Source organism: Homo sapiens, chromosome 7 (genome assembly GCF_000001405.40).
Source record: "Homo sapiens chromosome 7, GRCh38.p14 Primary Assembly".
NCBI classification, from domain to species: Eukaryota; Metazoa; Chordata; class Mammalia; order Primates; family Hominidae; genus Homo; species Homo sapiens.
The window spans coordinates 92,233,275-92,246,708 of NC_000007.14; the positions used below are offsets into that span (position 1 = coordinate 92,233,275).

At 37.4% G+C, this 13,434-nt stretch overlaps 2 protein-coding genes across 35 annotated transcripts in view, besides 3 other annotated features; one reads left to right on the forward strand and one right to left on the reverse strand.

Annotated features, from left to right (window-relative positions):
• The window catches only part of KRIT1 (KRIT1 ankyrin repeat containing), a 47,132-nt gene extending 34,306 nt beyond the window's left edge, over nucleotides 1–12,826 (reverse strand). Inside the window, exons 1-11 of one of the 34 annotated variants that reach the window (NM_194456.1) lie at nucleotides 12,632–12,826; nucleotides 12,153–12,321; nucleotides 11,628–11,897; nucleotides 10,728–10,875; nucleotides 8,760–8,863; nucleotides 7,719–7,878; nucleotides 4,393–4,485; nucleotides 3,139–3,268; nucleotides 2,129–2,372; nucleotides 1,534–1,649; nucleotides 1,175–1,318 (exon numbers count right to left, since the gene is read on the reverse strand). In NM_194456.1, the coding sequence (NP_919438.1) occupies nucleotides 1,175–1,318; nucleotides 1,534–1,649; nucleotides 2,129–2,372; nucleotides 3,139–3,268; nucleotides 4,393–4,485; nucleotides 7,719–7,878; nucleotides 8,760–8,861 (989 nt within the window). In that variant the 5' untranslated portion in view covers nucleotides 8,862–8,863; nucleotides 10,728–10,875; nucleotides 11,628–11,897; nucleotides 12,153–12,321; nucleotides 12,632–12,826. Of the gene's footprint in view, nucleotides 1–1,174; nucleotides 1,319–1,533; nucleotides 1,650–2,128; nucleotides 2,373–3,138; nucleotides 3,269–4,392; nucleotides 4,486–7,718; nucleotides 7,879–8,759; nucleotides 8,864–10,727; nucleotides 10,876–11,627; nucleotides 11,898–12,152 lie in introns of all 34 variants that reach the window. The other 33 variants (NM_001350674.1, NM_001350697.1, NM_001350682.1 and 30 more) reach the window with 33 other exon arrangements.
• Nucleotides 12,521–12,815: an enhancer, noted in NCBI's record as "tiled region #5961; HepG2 Activating non-DNase unmatched - State 1:Tss, and K562 Activating DNase unmatched - State 1:Tss". NCBI's record gives its function as "activates a minimal TATA promoter and a strong SV40 promoter by Sharpr-MPRA in HepG2 and K562 cells {active_cell/tissue: HepG2 | K562}" and the evidence as "EXISTENCE:reporter gene assay evidence [ECO:0000049][PMID:27701403]".
• Nucleotides 12,521–13,135: a biological region, named in NCBI's record as "Sharpr-MPRA regulatory region 5961".
• Nucleotides 12,700–13,434, forward strand: part of ANKIB1 (ankyrin repeat and IBR domain containing 1) — a 155,410-nt gene continuing 154,675 nt past the window's right edge. The window contains exon 1 of the mRNA NM_019004.2: nucleotides 12,700–13,245. The gene's annotated coding sequence lies outside the window, so the exon portion shown is untranslated. The remainder of the gene's footprint in view (nucleotides 13,246–13,434) is intronic.
• Nucleotides 12,746–13,135: a silencer, noted in NCBI's record as "silent region_18369". NCBI's record gives its function as "represses an Ori minimal core promoter by ATAC-STARR-seq in GM12878 lymphoblastoid cells {active_cell/tissue: GM12878}" and the evidence as "EXISTENCE:reporter gene assay evidence [ECO:0000049][PMID:35858748]".

Here is a 13,434-nt window from a genome sequence, read left to right on the forward strand (position 1 = left end):
CTCTAGAAATGATCTACTGCATTTTATATATGGATAAATAAGCTGAGATGCAGAGAGGTAAAGTGAATTACCTTGCTCAATCTAATACAACTAAGACACTGTGGACATTTAACAAGGCAATAAATAATGTGGTACTTTTTTTTTTTTTTTTGAAATGGAATCTCACTCTGTCACCAGGCTGGAGTGCGGTGGTGCAATCTCAGCTCACTGTAATCTCTGCCTCCCTGGTTCAAGCTATTCTCCTGCCTCAGCCTCCCAAGTAGCTGGGATTACAGGCGTGCACCACCACGCCCGGCTAATTTTTGTATTTTTAGTGGAGACGGGGTTTCACCATGTTAGCCAGGATGGTCTTGATCTCCTGACCTCGTGATCCACCTGCCTCGGCCTCCCAAAGTGCTGGGATTACAGGTGTGAGCCACTGCACCTGGCCGGTACCTCTTAAATTAGCCAAGGAAGCTTACTTTAAACAATAGGTGAAGAGCAACTTTCCCACAGAAATAATGTAAAAAACTTTATTATATCCTTTCTAGAAGATGACTTATAGTAAACAGTTAACTACTACTCTAAACACTAACAACTCAGCCCAACTGAGGGGAAAAATAATTATGTGAGAGGAGACCAAGAGCTACACTGGGCAACTAGTGGAAAGAGCTAACCCCAATCCTGTCCCAACACTAGTATCTAACATAATGGAAAGCTGTGGTTCTAATGAAGGCTTTTGAGGGCTTCTTGATAACCAGTTTCTCAAAGCACTAAAAGGATACTTTTATAGCAAGACGCAAGGTCAAATCGTAAGTAGTTAACACATGCAAACTTCCAGTAAAGATAAGCATAACATAATCCCAATACAAAACAAGAGAAACTGCAAAACAAGAGAAACTGCAAGGGTGAATAAGTGACCTTGTACTCTACAGTGACATTTACTAGTCATTAAGTATCCTACTATATGACCTGGCAATGCCTAAGGACACTAACAGTACGTTCCCCATAGGGCAGACCTTACAATTCTGAACATTGGCACATATACAATCATCTAAGATCAAAACAGAAAACTCCTAAGGCAAACAGGTAGAGAAAAAGTATTTGGAATGAGAACAGTCTTGAAAAGAAGGACTAACATTTATAATAAAAAATGTATTCTTTCTAAAAAGAAAAGAATAAATATTCCATTTACCAGCATGCATAATGAATGGGTGCCCAGTGGTCACTATCTAACTGGTTGACTGAAAATCTTTCACTGAGAAGACGGCTTAGTAATTCTGAATCTCCTTCACAGGCGCTTCGGTGGAGAGGAAAATCATCTACCCACTGTCGTTCCCTAATCATTAAAAAGAAATTTTGAAAAATACAACAGGACTGTAAAAATTGTTTCAAAAGAAATGTGACACATCTATGAAAGCTCTGTATCACTAAGAAGCTGTAAACTCAATAGTGACTACAATGCATACAAATTGCATATATAATTTTAAACAATACTTTAAATTAGAATGTAAGTTTTTATAAAAGCAATGTGGAGTAAAACCGAAACAGTACTTGTCTTCTGTGACACTGCTCATGCTTCTCTGCCATTTTTCCTGTTTAGGTATTTGGATTTTTGAGTAGTCTGGAGCTCCTAGACCAAAGTATGGATTTATTACCACTTTATCTACCTAGAAAGGGAAAACAATAACAAAAACCCATTAAGAGCTTTGTCATCTTAATGTTTACATGTTTATATTTTAAATTTTTACTTATTTATTTATTGAGAATGAGTCTTGCTCTGTTGCCCAGGCTGGAGTTCAGTGCTGCGATCTCAGCACACTGCAACCTCCGCCTCCCAGGTTCAAGCGATTCTCCTGCCTCAGTCTCCGGGGTAGCTAAGACTACAGGGGTACGCCACCACATCCAGCTAATTTTTGTATTTTTAGTAGAGACGAGATTTCACCATGTTGGCCAGGCTGGTCTCGAACTCCTGACCTCAGGCAATCTGCCCTCCTTGGCCTCCCAAAGTGCTGGGATTACAGGCGTGAGCCACTGTACCAGGCCTTCATGTTTATAATTAGTAATAGATGTATATATCTCAGGAAAAAAAATTACACTTGAGATAAAACGTCTTTTAAATCAGAGCTAAAATTCATTCAACTCTTACCCGATTTGTATACTGAAGATCTGATCCAAACAAAGGGTTGTAAATACAGGTATCTGCTTTCTCTAGGGCTAACATTTTACTCTTTATTTCTAGTGCACTATAGCCCATATGTAGTGAGTTTTCTGTCTGACCTGATTCAGTAGCATATGCAGGATTTATGACATTAGTTTTTATCCGCTCAAGAGGAGAAGGTCGGAATAAAGCTGGAATAAAGTGAGATTGTGCATGACGTTCATCTAACCACCTGGCAAAATAAAAAAACAGGTAGAAGTAGCCATTCGAAAGTGAAGATGAAAAAGATAGATTACTATCTAACTCTGATATATGACACTTGTGAATATTACCTTCAGATTTTTATAATTTTAATTTAGTGTTAGTTAAGTACTTTATTATTTTTAAAATTTATTTATATTGCAAATTGATTTTTTTAACAAAAAAACATGCATAATACTGTACATACTTTAGGGGCACATGTGATAATATGTTCATATGATCTATAAAGATCAAGTCAGTATACAAATACTTCATTTATTAATAAAAGTTTTGTTAATGGATACAGCAAATAAATTTTTTAAATGTATGTGCCATTATAGTAATAAAAACTCCTTTCAAAAAACATAAAAGTACTGTTAAAATTCAAACTACTGAGATGTAGGTGACATTAGCCCTGTTCTTACAGAAAGACAAAGGCATAAGAGGTTGAATGACTTCTTCACTGATAAGAGTAACTCAATATTAAATGTATAGTTTCATAACAGGTAAATCTTAATTCTTAAGCCAGGGCAGTGTTTACCATTTCTGAAAAATAAAATTAACATGCTGTACCCAGGCCAGGACAACCTTATCTTCGGGTTTTTCATTTTTATATTAGAATTGAAAAACTTACCATTTTTTAATACATATATTATTTTCATTATTTTCTTCTCAAAGTGTCTGTATCTATGACAACTAATTTCTACTATAAACATGTATTTGATTAATTAAAAGATACTTCTAACGGCATTTCTTACTTATCCAAGGCTATTAACATCCTTGCTGTAAGTGTAGCAAAATGAGTACTGGATTCACTACAGACTCGCATAATATCTTGTAAGCAGTAAAAAATTGGGCATCCTGGGGTATATGTGTATTTAGTATTATCTGAAAAAGAAAAATGAAGAATTATGCTACCATATAAAAGGTTTACATCTGCATGTTTTCATCTAAAAATACATGTTAGAAAATGAAAACTTGTTAAGTATAAAATAAATTGTTCTAGATTTGGAATTAGAAGGCCTGGATTCAAGTGATGACTAGCTCTGTGACCTTGTCCACTCAGGTAAATGCAACATTTAGAATTTTGGAGGACTGCAGAAACTGTTTCATCTTTATCTTCCTCAACAATGCTGTAAAACTCATTAATAAGATTTCCAATGCTACTTAAGATACTGAACTTTTTAACCTAAGTATGCCTGGAAAAATATATCTGGAATGCTACAGCTGGCTAATAAAATACATGTCAGCACTGTGTAGCAGCAGGCTGATGGGATGTCCATGGTGGGTGATTAATATAGTATATCATCAGTGTTACTACTATCTTACATGATGCTAGTACTCTATAGTTTCCAAGGTGATTTCGTATCTAATACCTCATTGAATTTTTCCAGCACCATGAAACAAGTGGGAGTAGATAGCAATATTGTCCCTATTTTACAAATAAAGAGCTAAAGATTAAAGAGGAGATTTGCCCAAGGTCACAAAATTATAGGCTGCAAGGTCTGTACTGAAACTCAATGTGTTTATTATGCCAGGGTGCCAAAGGAATAAAACATTTTCACATTAGATTTCCTTCTTAAAAATATTACTATTAGGCAGAGTATATTAGAACTATTATTGATTCTTGTCCCAAATACAAGATAGGTTCTGATCATAATCTGTTAATTTTCCAGAATACTTAAGGATCAATTTTTATTTTATCTATGGCATATCTTTAGAAAAATCCTTTATTGTAACCTGAGCACTTTAAATTTCAATTATGCCTTCCCTCCTCATTTCTTCATCCTTTTAAAAACTAAAACAAAAACATTACTGTTGAGCCAAGAAGCCTGTATATTATTTTGAAATCAAAACATCTTTAAGTAACATATTTCCCTTCTATTAATTTTAAAATATGTATTTTATAATATTATAGTAGTAACTATGAATGCAAATTCTTAACTTCCTCAATAGACCTTTACTTAGCATCTAAAGTATATAAAGATTTGTAAGATACATTTAGACTTTACCTTTGACAACTGATGGAACAATAAATAATGATGCTTCTCTGCCCATCTTCTCTCCATCCAGAGGAAATTTTTTCATTAGTACAACTCGTTTTCCTAATCATTTTTAAAAAGTTAGCAAAACAAAAATAATACACTTTTAAATCTTATAAATTACCTTGAGAATTAGAAAACAGATACTTTAAAAGGCAGCATTAAGAGGAACTGAAATATACTAAGTCAATTTTATTATATGTACTAATAAAAACTGATAAATGCAAAATCATTCTGTGGACAATCCTTGTAGATTTAGGGTCCTGGTCTTGACCCCTAGAAGAGAAGCTTCCTAAGCATAGCTAGGAAAACTGTTCTGCTAAGAGCTGAGAAGGCAGATCAACAATGTACTCTGCAGGGTCAATATGCATATACCACCTCAGTCATCTAGAATAGAGACAGTAAGAATTGTATTATATTCTGGCATATGTAAGTTTCAAAGTCTTAATGTTTAGTGGCTCTTCATTTAATATTTAACCTCCATCCTCAATTTCAGGTTTTATTAAAATCTGATTGGGCTACAAACTATTGTTCTAAATTGTAACTACCATTCTTAATGTTTTTCCTGAATTGGCAGTAAGTTATTAATAAATAATAACCTACAAGTCTTGTATTCTAAAACCCCTCATTCTCTAGACCTTTGTTATGCTTTCAATGCTTTCAATTTCCTCACACTAAGAAACAGAACCTCGTTCCTGCCCCAGGTAGAAATGCCTAGTAGGCAGGTGGGATGCCTTCTGTGGGCAGGTAAATGATAAGACTTCAAATAGATTCACTTATTCACAAAATATCAGAGCCAATATTTGTGATTATTAAGACCTTCTATATTATAGCCTCCAATTATTTTACAAAATGAACACTTGTACAAAATATAAGTGCTAGATACAGAACAACATTCTAATATACTTCAGAGGCACTATTTCTTTTGTCTGGCTTGAAGTCTCGTTTCTACTTAATCTTTCCTGCCTTGCTGTTTCCCCAAATCCAGTTACGATCCATTATTTAAATGCCTATTTTGCATATTATATATCTAACTATGAGATCTGTCAGTGGGGCAGGGAAGCACTGACAAGTTAGGAGATGAAGGTTCTAGTCCTAATTCCTCTACCAATGGAAATGCTTATAGGAGGAGACAGCCTATGCCTCCATTCCCATTTTATAGATGTGAAAATCACTACCTATCGACAGGACCAATTTAAGAGTTTCATGTATAAGTGTGATGGTGCTTTGTAAATGACATACAGCACAGTACAAAAATTTTAAGCCTAACTACTGCTAATAGTCATTTGTGATTTTCATGTGATGTTTATATAAGGAATCTTATTACTTCAAAAATATTTCATAGATTTAGAAAAACAAATAGGATATTCAGGATACAGTATGGCTCATTAATACATTAAACTTTTCAACTTTAATTTCTTGTTAAAAGCTCCCTGAAAATATATTAGTACATTTTATGTCTGAGTATACAGGGCAAAATGGTGCTAGATATGTTTCACGGTGACTGTCACTCGTAACTCCTCCTAAGGGAAAGTACCCAGCCTTCTGGACCAGGGGAAGTTTTTTGTTAACAGTGAGATCTCTTCCATATCCCTCTGGGTAAATGGACCTAGTGGCTGAGCTTATTTAATTCACAACAAATTATGACTTTTTTAGGTCTATAATGATTTGTCAGCTCAAATATGTGATTTAGGCTAATTAGATTTCTGTCTCAGGGATTTGGTGTCAGGATAGATGCTGATAACTATAACAATCTGGCATTAGTAAAATAAGTTCAGATGAAAATTTATCAGAGAAGTCCAAGACTGAGGTAGATAAGACTGACCAATCTGTGGCATCCAAAGAGAGTCTTCACATGCCTTGATTCCCAAAAAAGGATAGCTCCCTCCACCTTTTTAATAAGCTAAGATTGCTTTCCTGATCATCTTATTATACAGTGAATCTGGTAATTAGAGAAAAGGGATTCTCTTTGTGAGACTCGGAGTGTTTATCACAGATCATATGCAGGAACTTTTTTTTTTTTTTTTTTTTTGAGACGGAGTCTCACTCTGTCGCCCAGGCTAGAGTGCAGTGGCACAATCTTGGCTCACTGTAACCTCCATTTCCCATGTTCAAGCGATTCTTCTGCCTCAGCCTCCTGAGTAGCTGGGACTATAGGCGTGTACCACCACACCGGGCTAATTTTTGTATTTTTGGTAGAGATGGGGTTTCACCATATTGGCCAAGCTGGTCTCGAACTCCTGACCTCGTGATCCACCCACCTCGGCCTCCCAAAGTGCTGGGATTACAGACGTGAGCCACTGCACCTCACGTCTTATAAGTAGGAACTACTTATAATCCTGAGTTAAAATGCTTACAGTCCCAACCCACAAAAACTCTTCAGGCTCTATTAGGGGAAGAAACCTATCAGGGAGCTATAATACAGTGAATGGTACCGCCAAAAGTTATGAAACACAGGCTTATAGCTCAGTTATGTATCTCTAGAAAACAAATATCCAAAATAACTAATAAATCAAACCACAGTATTTGGCTGTATCTCTGCAACAAAAACCATCTCTTTACTGAAACATATGAATCAGATAACTAATCCCTATAAAAATGTACACTGAATAAGCTTTGAAAAACCAAAAAAGCAGGCATAGAGAGGTATGCTTTACTTCACTAAGAACTGTTTTCTACTGCTGCTTGACTGAATTGGTTTTACTTTTTAAATTGTAGTAACTGAATCTTGGATATAGTTTGTAGTTTCTGTAACGTTTGATGGCTGTTTCTACAGCCTGAGAAAATGGATCATTAATTTTTAATCTATCTATTATGTAATATTTTAAATGGGGCCTTAATCTTTCAGGGTTAATACTTCCACAATTCAGTTTGACTTTCTGAAAAGGGTCTTCTTTCTATGACCAAATAGGAAGAAAACCTCTGCTACTTGGTAATTTACAGGACTTTCCCTAATCCATGAACATTAACTTTTACTTAGTTTTGGAGAGATGAGTATAGTTTCCTCTGTCATTAAGTAAAGAAATAGGAATAGTAGTTAAAAGATACTTACCTAGGGAACTACACTTCACATCAACATTGTGAATTCTTTAAATACTTCTCAACTTTTAAAAAATTTGTCAAGTTACATCTTGAAGGGGCTTGGGTGTACCTTAAAAAACACTTGAGTTTTTTTGCAAGTTTGTTAAATGTAAAGGAACATAAAAAGAAATTGGTTTAATATGTGTATATTTTTAAAAGAATCTTTCTCCACAAGTATTTTAAACAATGTGTTTTTTAAAAAAGAAGTTTCCTACCTCTGATACCCTGGTTTGCAGGAGAAATTGGTTTGGTGGTTTCTACTACGTAATCCAATATGCCTTGTGTTATTTCACTGTTGCCTTGAAGTTTCGTTTCCAATAAAACTTTCTTTCTCTTTTTTTTCTGTCCTTCAATGGGAACTTCATGCAACAAAATCTTAGATGAGAAAAACATTAAGAGAAAGCTTAAAATAAAGTCTACTTGCCCTAGAATACTACAATAAGCTAGCAGTCTTTCTCAACTCTAGCTGCATATTAGAATAATTTGGGAAGCTTTAAAACAATAGCAATGCCCAGCCCCATCCCACACAGATGGGAATGTCTGGGGCCTGGTTCTTACAGTTTTAAGATGCTTCTACAGTGCAGCCAGGAGTGAGAAATGGTAAGCCACAGCACTGCTGATGCAGTAGCCTACTCAGAAACCCTACAGTACCCTTTAACAGGTTTCAGACAACCTTAAAAAAGCAGTTTAAAGGAAATGCTAGATAAATTAGGTTAAATTAGAAGTATTTCATATTGCTTGAAATCTGTTGCATAAAAAAGTAACAAGTTATATATATGTATATGTATGTACATATAGCCTTAATTATATGTTTACTAATAAATACGATTCAACACTACAGAAAAGTAACTTAATTGTCTAAAAATTTAAGGCAAAAAAGTATTTTAAAACGAATTGTTAAAAATAGTTATTTGGAAAAATAACCAAAAACAAAGTTTGGATTGAAATTTTAAGTGAGCTGACTTTTGCAGTGGTTTTTAATTTTTGAGAGCCATTTCACAAACTGTAAGAAAACTGAAAGCTATATATTGTAAGAAAAACTCAAACAAGTAACCTTTAATATCTAATAACCTACATGTCAATAAACAGCAAATGGTCAAAAGGCACGTGGCAGAAAAAAGACAAAATAATGGGCAGAGACCTAAAATAATTGGCTTGTTAATACAACTTTACAAGATATAATAAGGCTTTATATGTGAATGATAATACAGAATGACATTCAATGGTAGAAATAAATTATTATTAAATGTTCTTACTTCATATGACTTAGCTCTGTATTCCCGAGAATTGAGACTGGCAGTATTCTTTGGACGAATAACAGCAACATATGCATCTTCTATGTTTTCTGGATTTCCCATTGCTTTACAAAACAAATAAAAAAATCCTTTGAAAGATTAAATGACACATTTGATGGCAAGATAAAAAAAAGTAATGCATCTTAAATTGAAAACTTTTATTTCCACATAATCATGTCGAAAAAATTAAAAAAAAATAAAATGTTCTCTATCCTAGAATATACAGTGCCTAAAAGGCAAGCCAGGAATGACTTTGACTGCATCTTTACTGTTCAACTACTCAAAACCTTAGCTGATAATTTAAGATTTCCTTTGTATTTCTTTTTTCATTTTAAAATAGGGTTATACATTTTCATAGGTGTTAACTGCATAGTAAGAATCTGCCTTTGGGGCCAAAAAAAAGTGATGATGATTATAAAATAACTTGTAAATAATGACTTGAAATAGTGATTCAGAATAATATACACTTTTTCCATAAATTACAAAAGTGAATGTTAGTTATACTGTTAACAGTTTGGAAGCTGGAAATGGTAGATGTTTTATATCCATTGACATTTACTCCAGAACTTTCAGCAAGGATAACTTTGATATCAGACATTTGGATGAGCTAAAGCGTAGTATGTAATTTTCTTTGGAGTTGCTTATCACAGAACCAAAACTATTTGGTCAGTTGATAAAAGCTTTCTGAAGGTGATTTAAGAATCTTTTCCATTTCCCTTATCAATTTCCTTGATAATCCAAATTTTTGTTTTGTTTTGTTTTAGACAGAGTCTCGCTCTGTCACTTAGGCTAGAGTGCAGTGACAATCTCGCCTCAATGCAACCCTCGCCTCCCGGGTTCAGGCGATTCTCCCTCCTGCCTCAGCCTCCTGAGTAGCCAGAATTAACAGGCGTGTGCCACCATGCTCGGCTAATTTTTGTGTCTTTTAGTAGAGATGGAGTTTTACCATGTTGGCCAGGCTGGTCTCAAACTCCTGACCTCAAGTGATCCACCTGCCTCGGCCTCCCAAAGTGCTCGGATTACAGGCGTGAGCCACCACACCTGTCAATAATCCAAATTTTTTATTCCAAATATATTCACTGTGTGTGTGTGTGCGTGTGTGTTATGCATATACTTTGTCCCACTAAATCTTAAGTCTCCATTGCGCAATTTCCAACAAGTGACTGAATTTCAACCACAATCTTAGTTGTATAATAGTTTTCTTCATTGAATAAATTTCTTTCATGGCTACACTAAAGTGCATCTTTCTGTACTGATTATTTTTTATCTTTTTTTGAAAAAGCTTCTCCCCATTTATTTGTCAGTAAATTTCTAAAAGAACATTAAAGAGTTTCTTTCCCAGCTATGTTGAGATGAACTTTCTTCAGTTTTTTAAAAACCATTAGGCATTAAAATTACCTGTTCATATTTAATGAGTTCCCTACTGCTGCAACTCTCAAGATAGACCATTTTCAAGAAAGGGTTTTGAATGTTATTTGAGAGGCGATAGAGTAATTTATCCTGTTTCTTCCACTGCAACTGAAAATGTCACTCTGTAACTTTTAATTCACTTCCCTAAATAATAATTAAAAAGTGCCTTATGATTGTAAAATTACCCTAAGAAGAAATTCTTTTAAAATACAGTAGCTTTTGGCATTTTACATAAACTTTAGCCTAAGATTAAAACAACCATTAAAATTATTGTACAAAAATTTTAAATAAAATAATTTAAATACTTTTCAAATTTATTTTAAATTCTAAAACTTTCCATTGATTTAGATCCAAAAAAACCCTACAGATATTTCACTAGAAAAAAATACAGTGACACATTAGGATAGAGACATTTCATTGTGTGAAAGGTTTTGAGGACGTTATCATTCTTTATCATTATATACTTCATGAAATTTTTTTCAGTTCAATTTTTTGTATAAAATCATTCTTAAAACCCACCTCATGCAACAGACCTTCCTACATCATGTGAAAAGGATGAGGCCTTTTTCTTCTCAGAATTTCTATTTAGCAATTACTTTTCACCACAGATTAACAATGACTTCAAGATAATAAACGTTTACAAATTATGAGACAGACGCATTGAAGACTGCAAGCCCCAAAAAGAAAGACATTGTATTGTGAATACACTGTATGATATATGGGCACAATTACAGAAACCATTTTATCTATTAAGGACCTAAAAGAAAAATCAAGTAACTCTTACTTTTCTAAAGACAATTTAAAGCAAATCAATTCCTGTCTTGGTCAACTCATGTTAAGAAAACATTTACTAGCAAAGTACTTTGTCAATACTCATCACTTCTCTAGAATATTTAATTAATACTGCACAGAAGCCTGAACTTTTAAAAGGTAAACAAATGTGATTTTAAAAAGACATAACTATGACAGTAACAGTATTTTGTTTTCTTAAACCAAATACTTTTTTACCATATCCCCAAAATATTCTTAAAATTCATTTTCAAGAACTATTCGTACTTGACTACTTAAAATCTACATTCTTCCAGTGACATGAAAGAAGGAAACAAAGGCTTAACAGGAAAATAACAAAAGTAACTAACATAGGAAGGTAAAACTGCTAAGGGAGAAACACAGACAAACTGATAGAAAATGAGTAGCTTGAACTAAAATACAAGAAAGGTATAACTAGAGTTTGCAATATGTTTAGACTGAGTCTGAGATGAGGGTTCAAGTGAATAAGTACAGGAAACGTGGCATTTTGTTATATGGCTCACTCCATTCTGGAAAATGTTAGGCACAAATGATAATATGCTCCCTAAGTAATAAGATCTTATAAATAAAGCAGTGGAAGTGGTCCTTAATTAGGGGGGTGGCACCTACCTGGGATCACTGGAAAATATGGAGGGCATTTCTGGTTGTCACTATGACTGATGAGGGGAGATGTACAACTGCCATTTAGTGTCCATGGAACAGGTTTGCTAACATCCTCTTAGTATGCTAGACAGCGTTTGCAAACAGAAACTGTAAAGGCACATATGCACTCCAGAAGGGTAAGAAAATAATGAGGCTGAGATCCTGAGTTGGACCACCGAGATGAAAGACTTCTGGTGAGGCTAAAAACATGTAGAAAAAGCGATGAAAGCCAAAAACCTTAAAAGGTGGAGAAAAGTGTAGAGGCGAGAAGTGAGTTACAGGGGGAGAAGTGAGTTAGAATGACAAGCTGTGAATCCCTTTCCCTGCAATGACAAAAATACGTAATCACTCTGCCTGGGAGGTTTTTTCCTGCGCCACCACCCGTCAACGTCCACTACTGGGGAAAAACGTAAGCCTCTTTGCTCAAAGAGTTTCCACCCAAAAAGTGGCTATGGTTTCTCTGTAACTACATGTGAAAAATAAACTCCTTGCCTGGGGCAACTAGATGTGGAGATGGTTCAGTCTCCCACCTCCGTTTTCCCTCGCTGGAGTCGAACTTGCTCCTCCTGTTTCCCGAAGGACACCGAGAGGTCCCACCCGTACGGGCTGCCGCGAGTGCCTCTCTGGCCGCTACATTCAACTAAATGGGTGGGACAGTCACCTGGCGAGGGGGGGCAGGGACCGTCACCGCTTTCTCATTCCTCCTTCCCTCCTCCCAGGCACAGCAGCCCGGCCCAGCTTCCTGTGGCAGAAAAACCCTCAGTCGCCAAAAGAAAGCCGTCTTGAGGGTTCCCCCGCGCTCCCACCCGCGCCCCAAAAGCTCAGGTCTCTGGAGTCGGAGACCCTCCTGCCCACCTGCTCTTTACTGTCCTTCCCTCTCCTCGCACCTCAGCACCATTCACCCCTCACCCTCTCCCGAAACTACGGGGTCCCAGGTCTTCAAAGGCCTTAGCTTTCCACCCCGCCGTTACCGTGGCTATGAAATCGCTTCCGGGTTCACACCCTTTGCAGCCTCGCGGTTGGCGGTGAAAGAGCTTCCGGGTCGGCGGCCGGGCTGCTGCCGTTCCTGCTCCTTTTCACTGGACCTGCAGTCTCTCAGGGGCTGGTGGCAGGCGACTAGGAGACTAGGGTGGTGGCGGTGGGGGTGCCAGCGGCTGAGCCGGAGCCGGAGCCGGAGGCGGGGGAGGGGAAGAGGGCGGCCGGGGCTGCGAGCGCGCAAGGCTGGAACATGAGCCGGGCTTGACCGCGAGGCGGAGGCAAGAGCCACCGCCCCCTCTTCCCCTCCCCCGAGTGAGGCGGCGCAGCGGCCGGAGAGGGATGGGGGGCGCCCACCCAGTCTGAGCCTCGCCGCGGGCGCCTTCGGCTCACGCAGCGCTTCCCGCGGGCCGCCAGTGCGCACCCTCGGCCACATCAGCCTCCGCCTGGCGGGTGCACCCGGGCCGGCGAGGAAGGGGCAACCGTCCGGGTGGGTGGGGCGGGCTGGGTACCTGAGGTCACCAGCTCGGCTGTAGAGGCAGGGGCGGCGGAGGCGGAACTGCGGAGTTGCTGGGTCCACCGACCCTTACCCTCAGCGAGAGAAGTAACCGTAAGTCTCAGCTTCGCGGTACAGATGTGTTTGAGGCTGCCTCTACCCATTTGTGGCTCCGAGTTCAGAGCTACCTACTTCACACCCTCCCGGATCTACTAGGAGTGTGTCTGTCGCCTGTTTTGGAGCATTGTTGTTCTGTCTGTCCCCATCCCTGAACAGGCAGCATTCTCTGCCCTACAGGGCTTT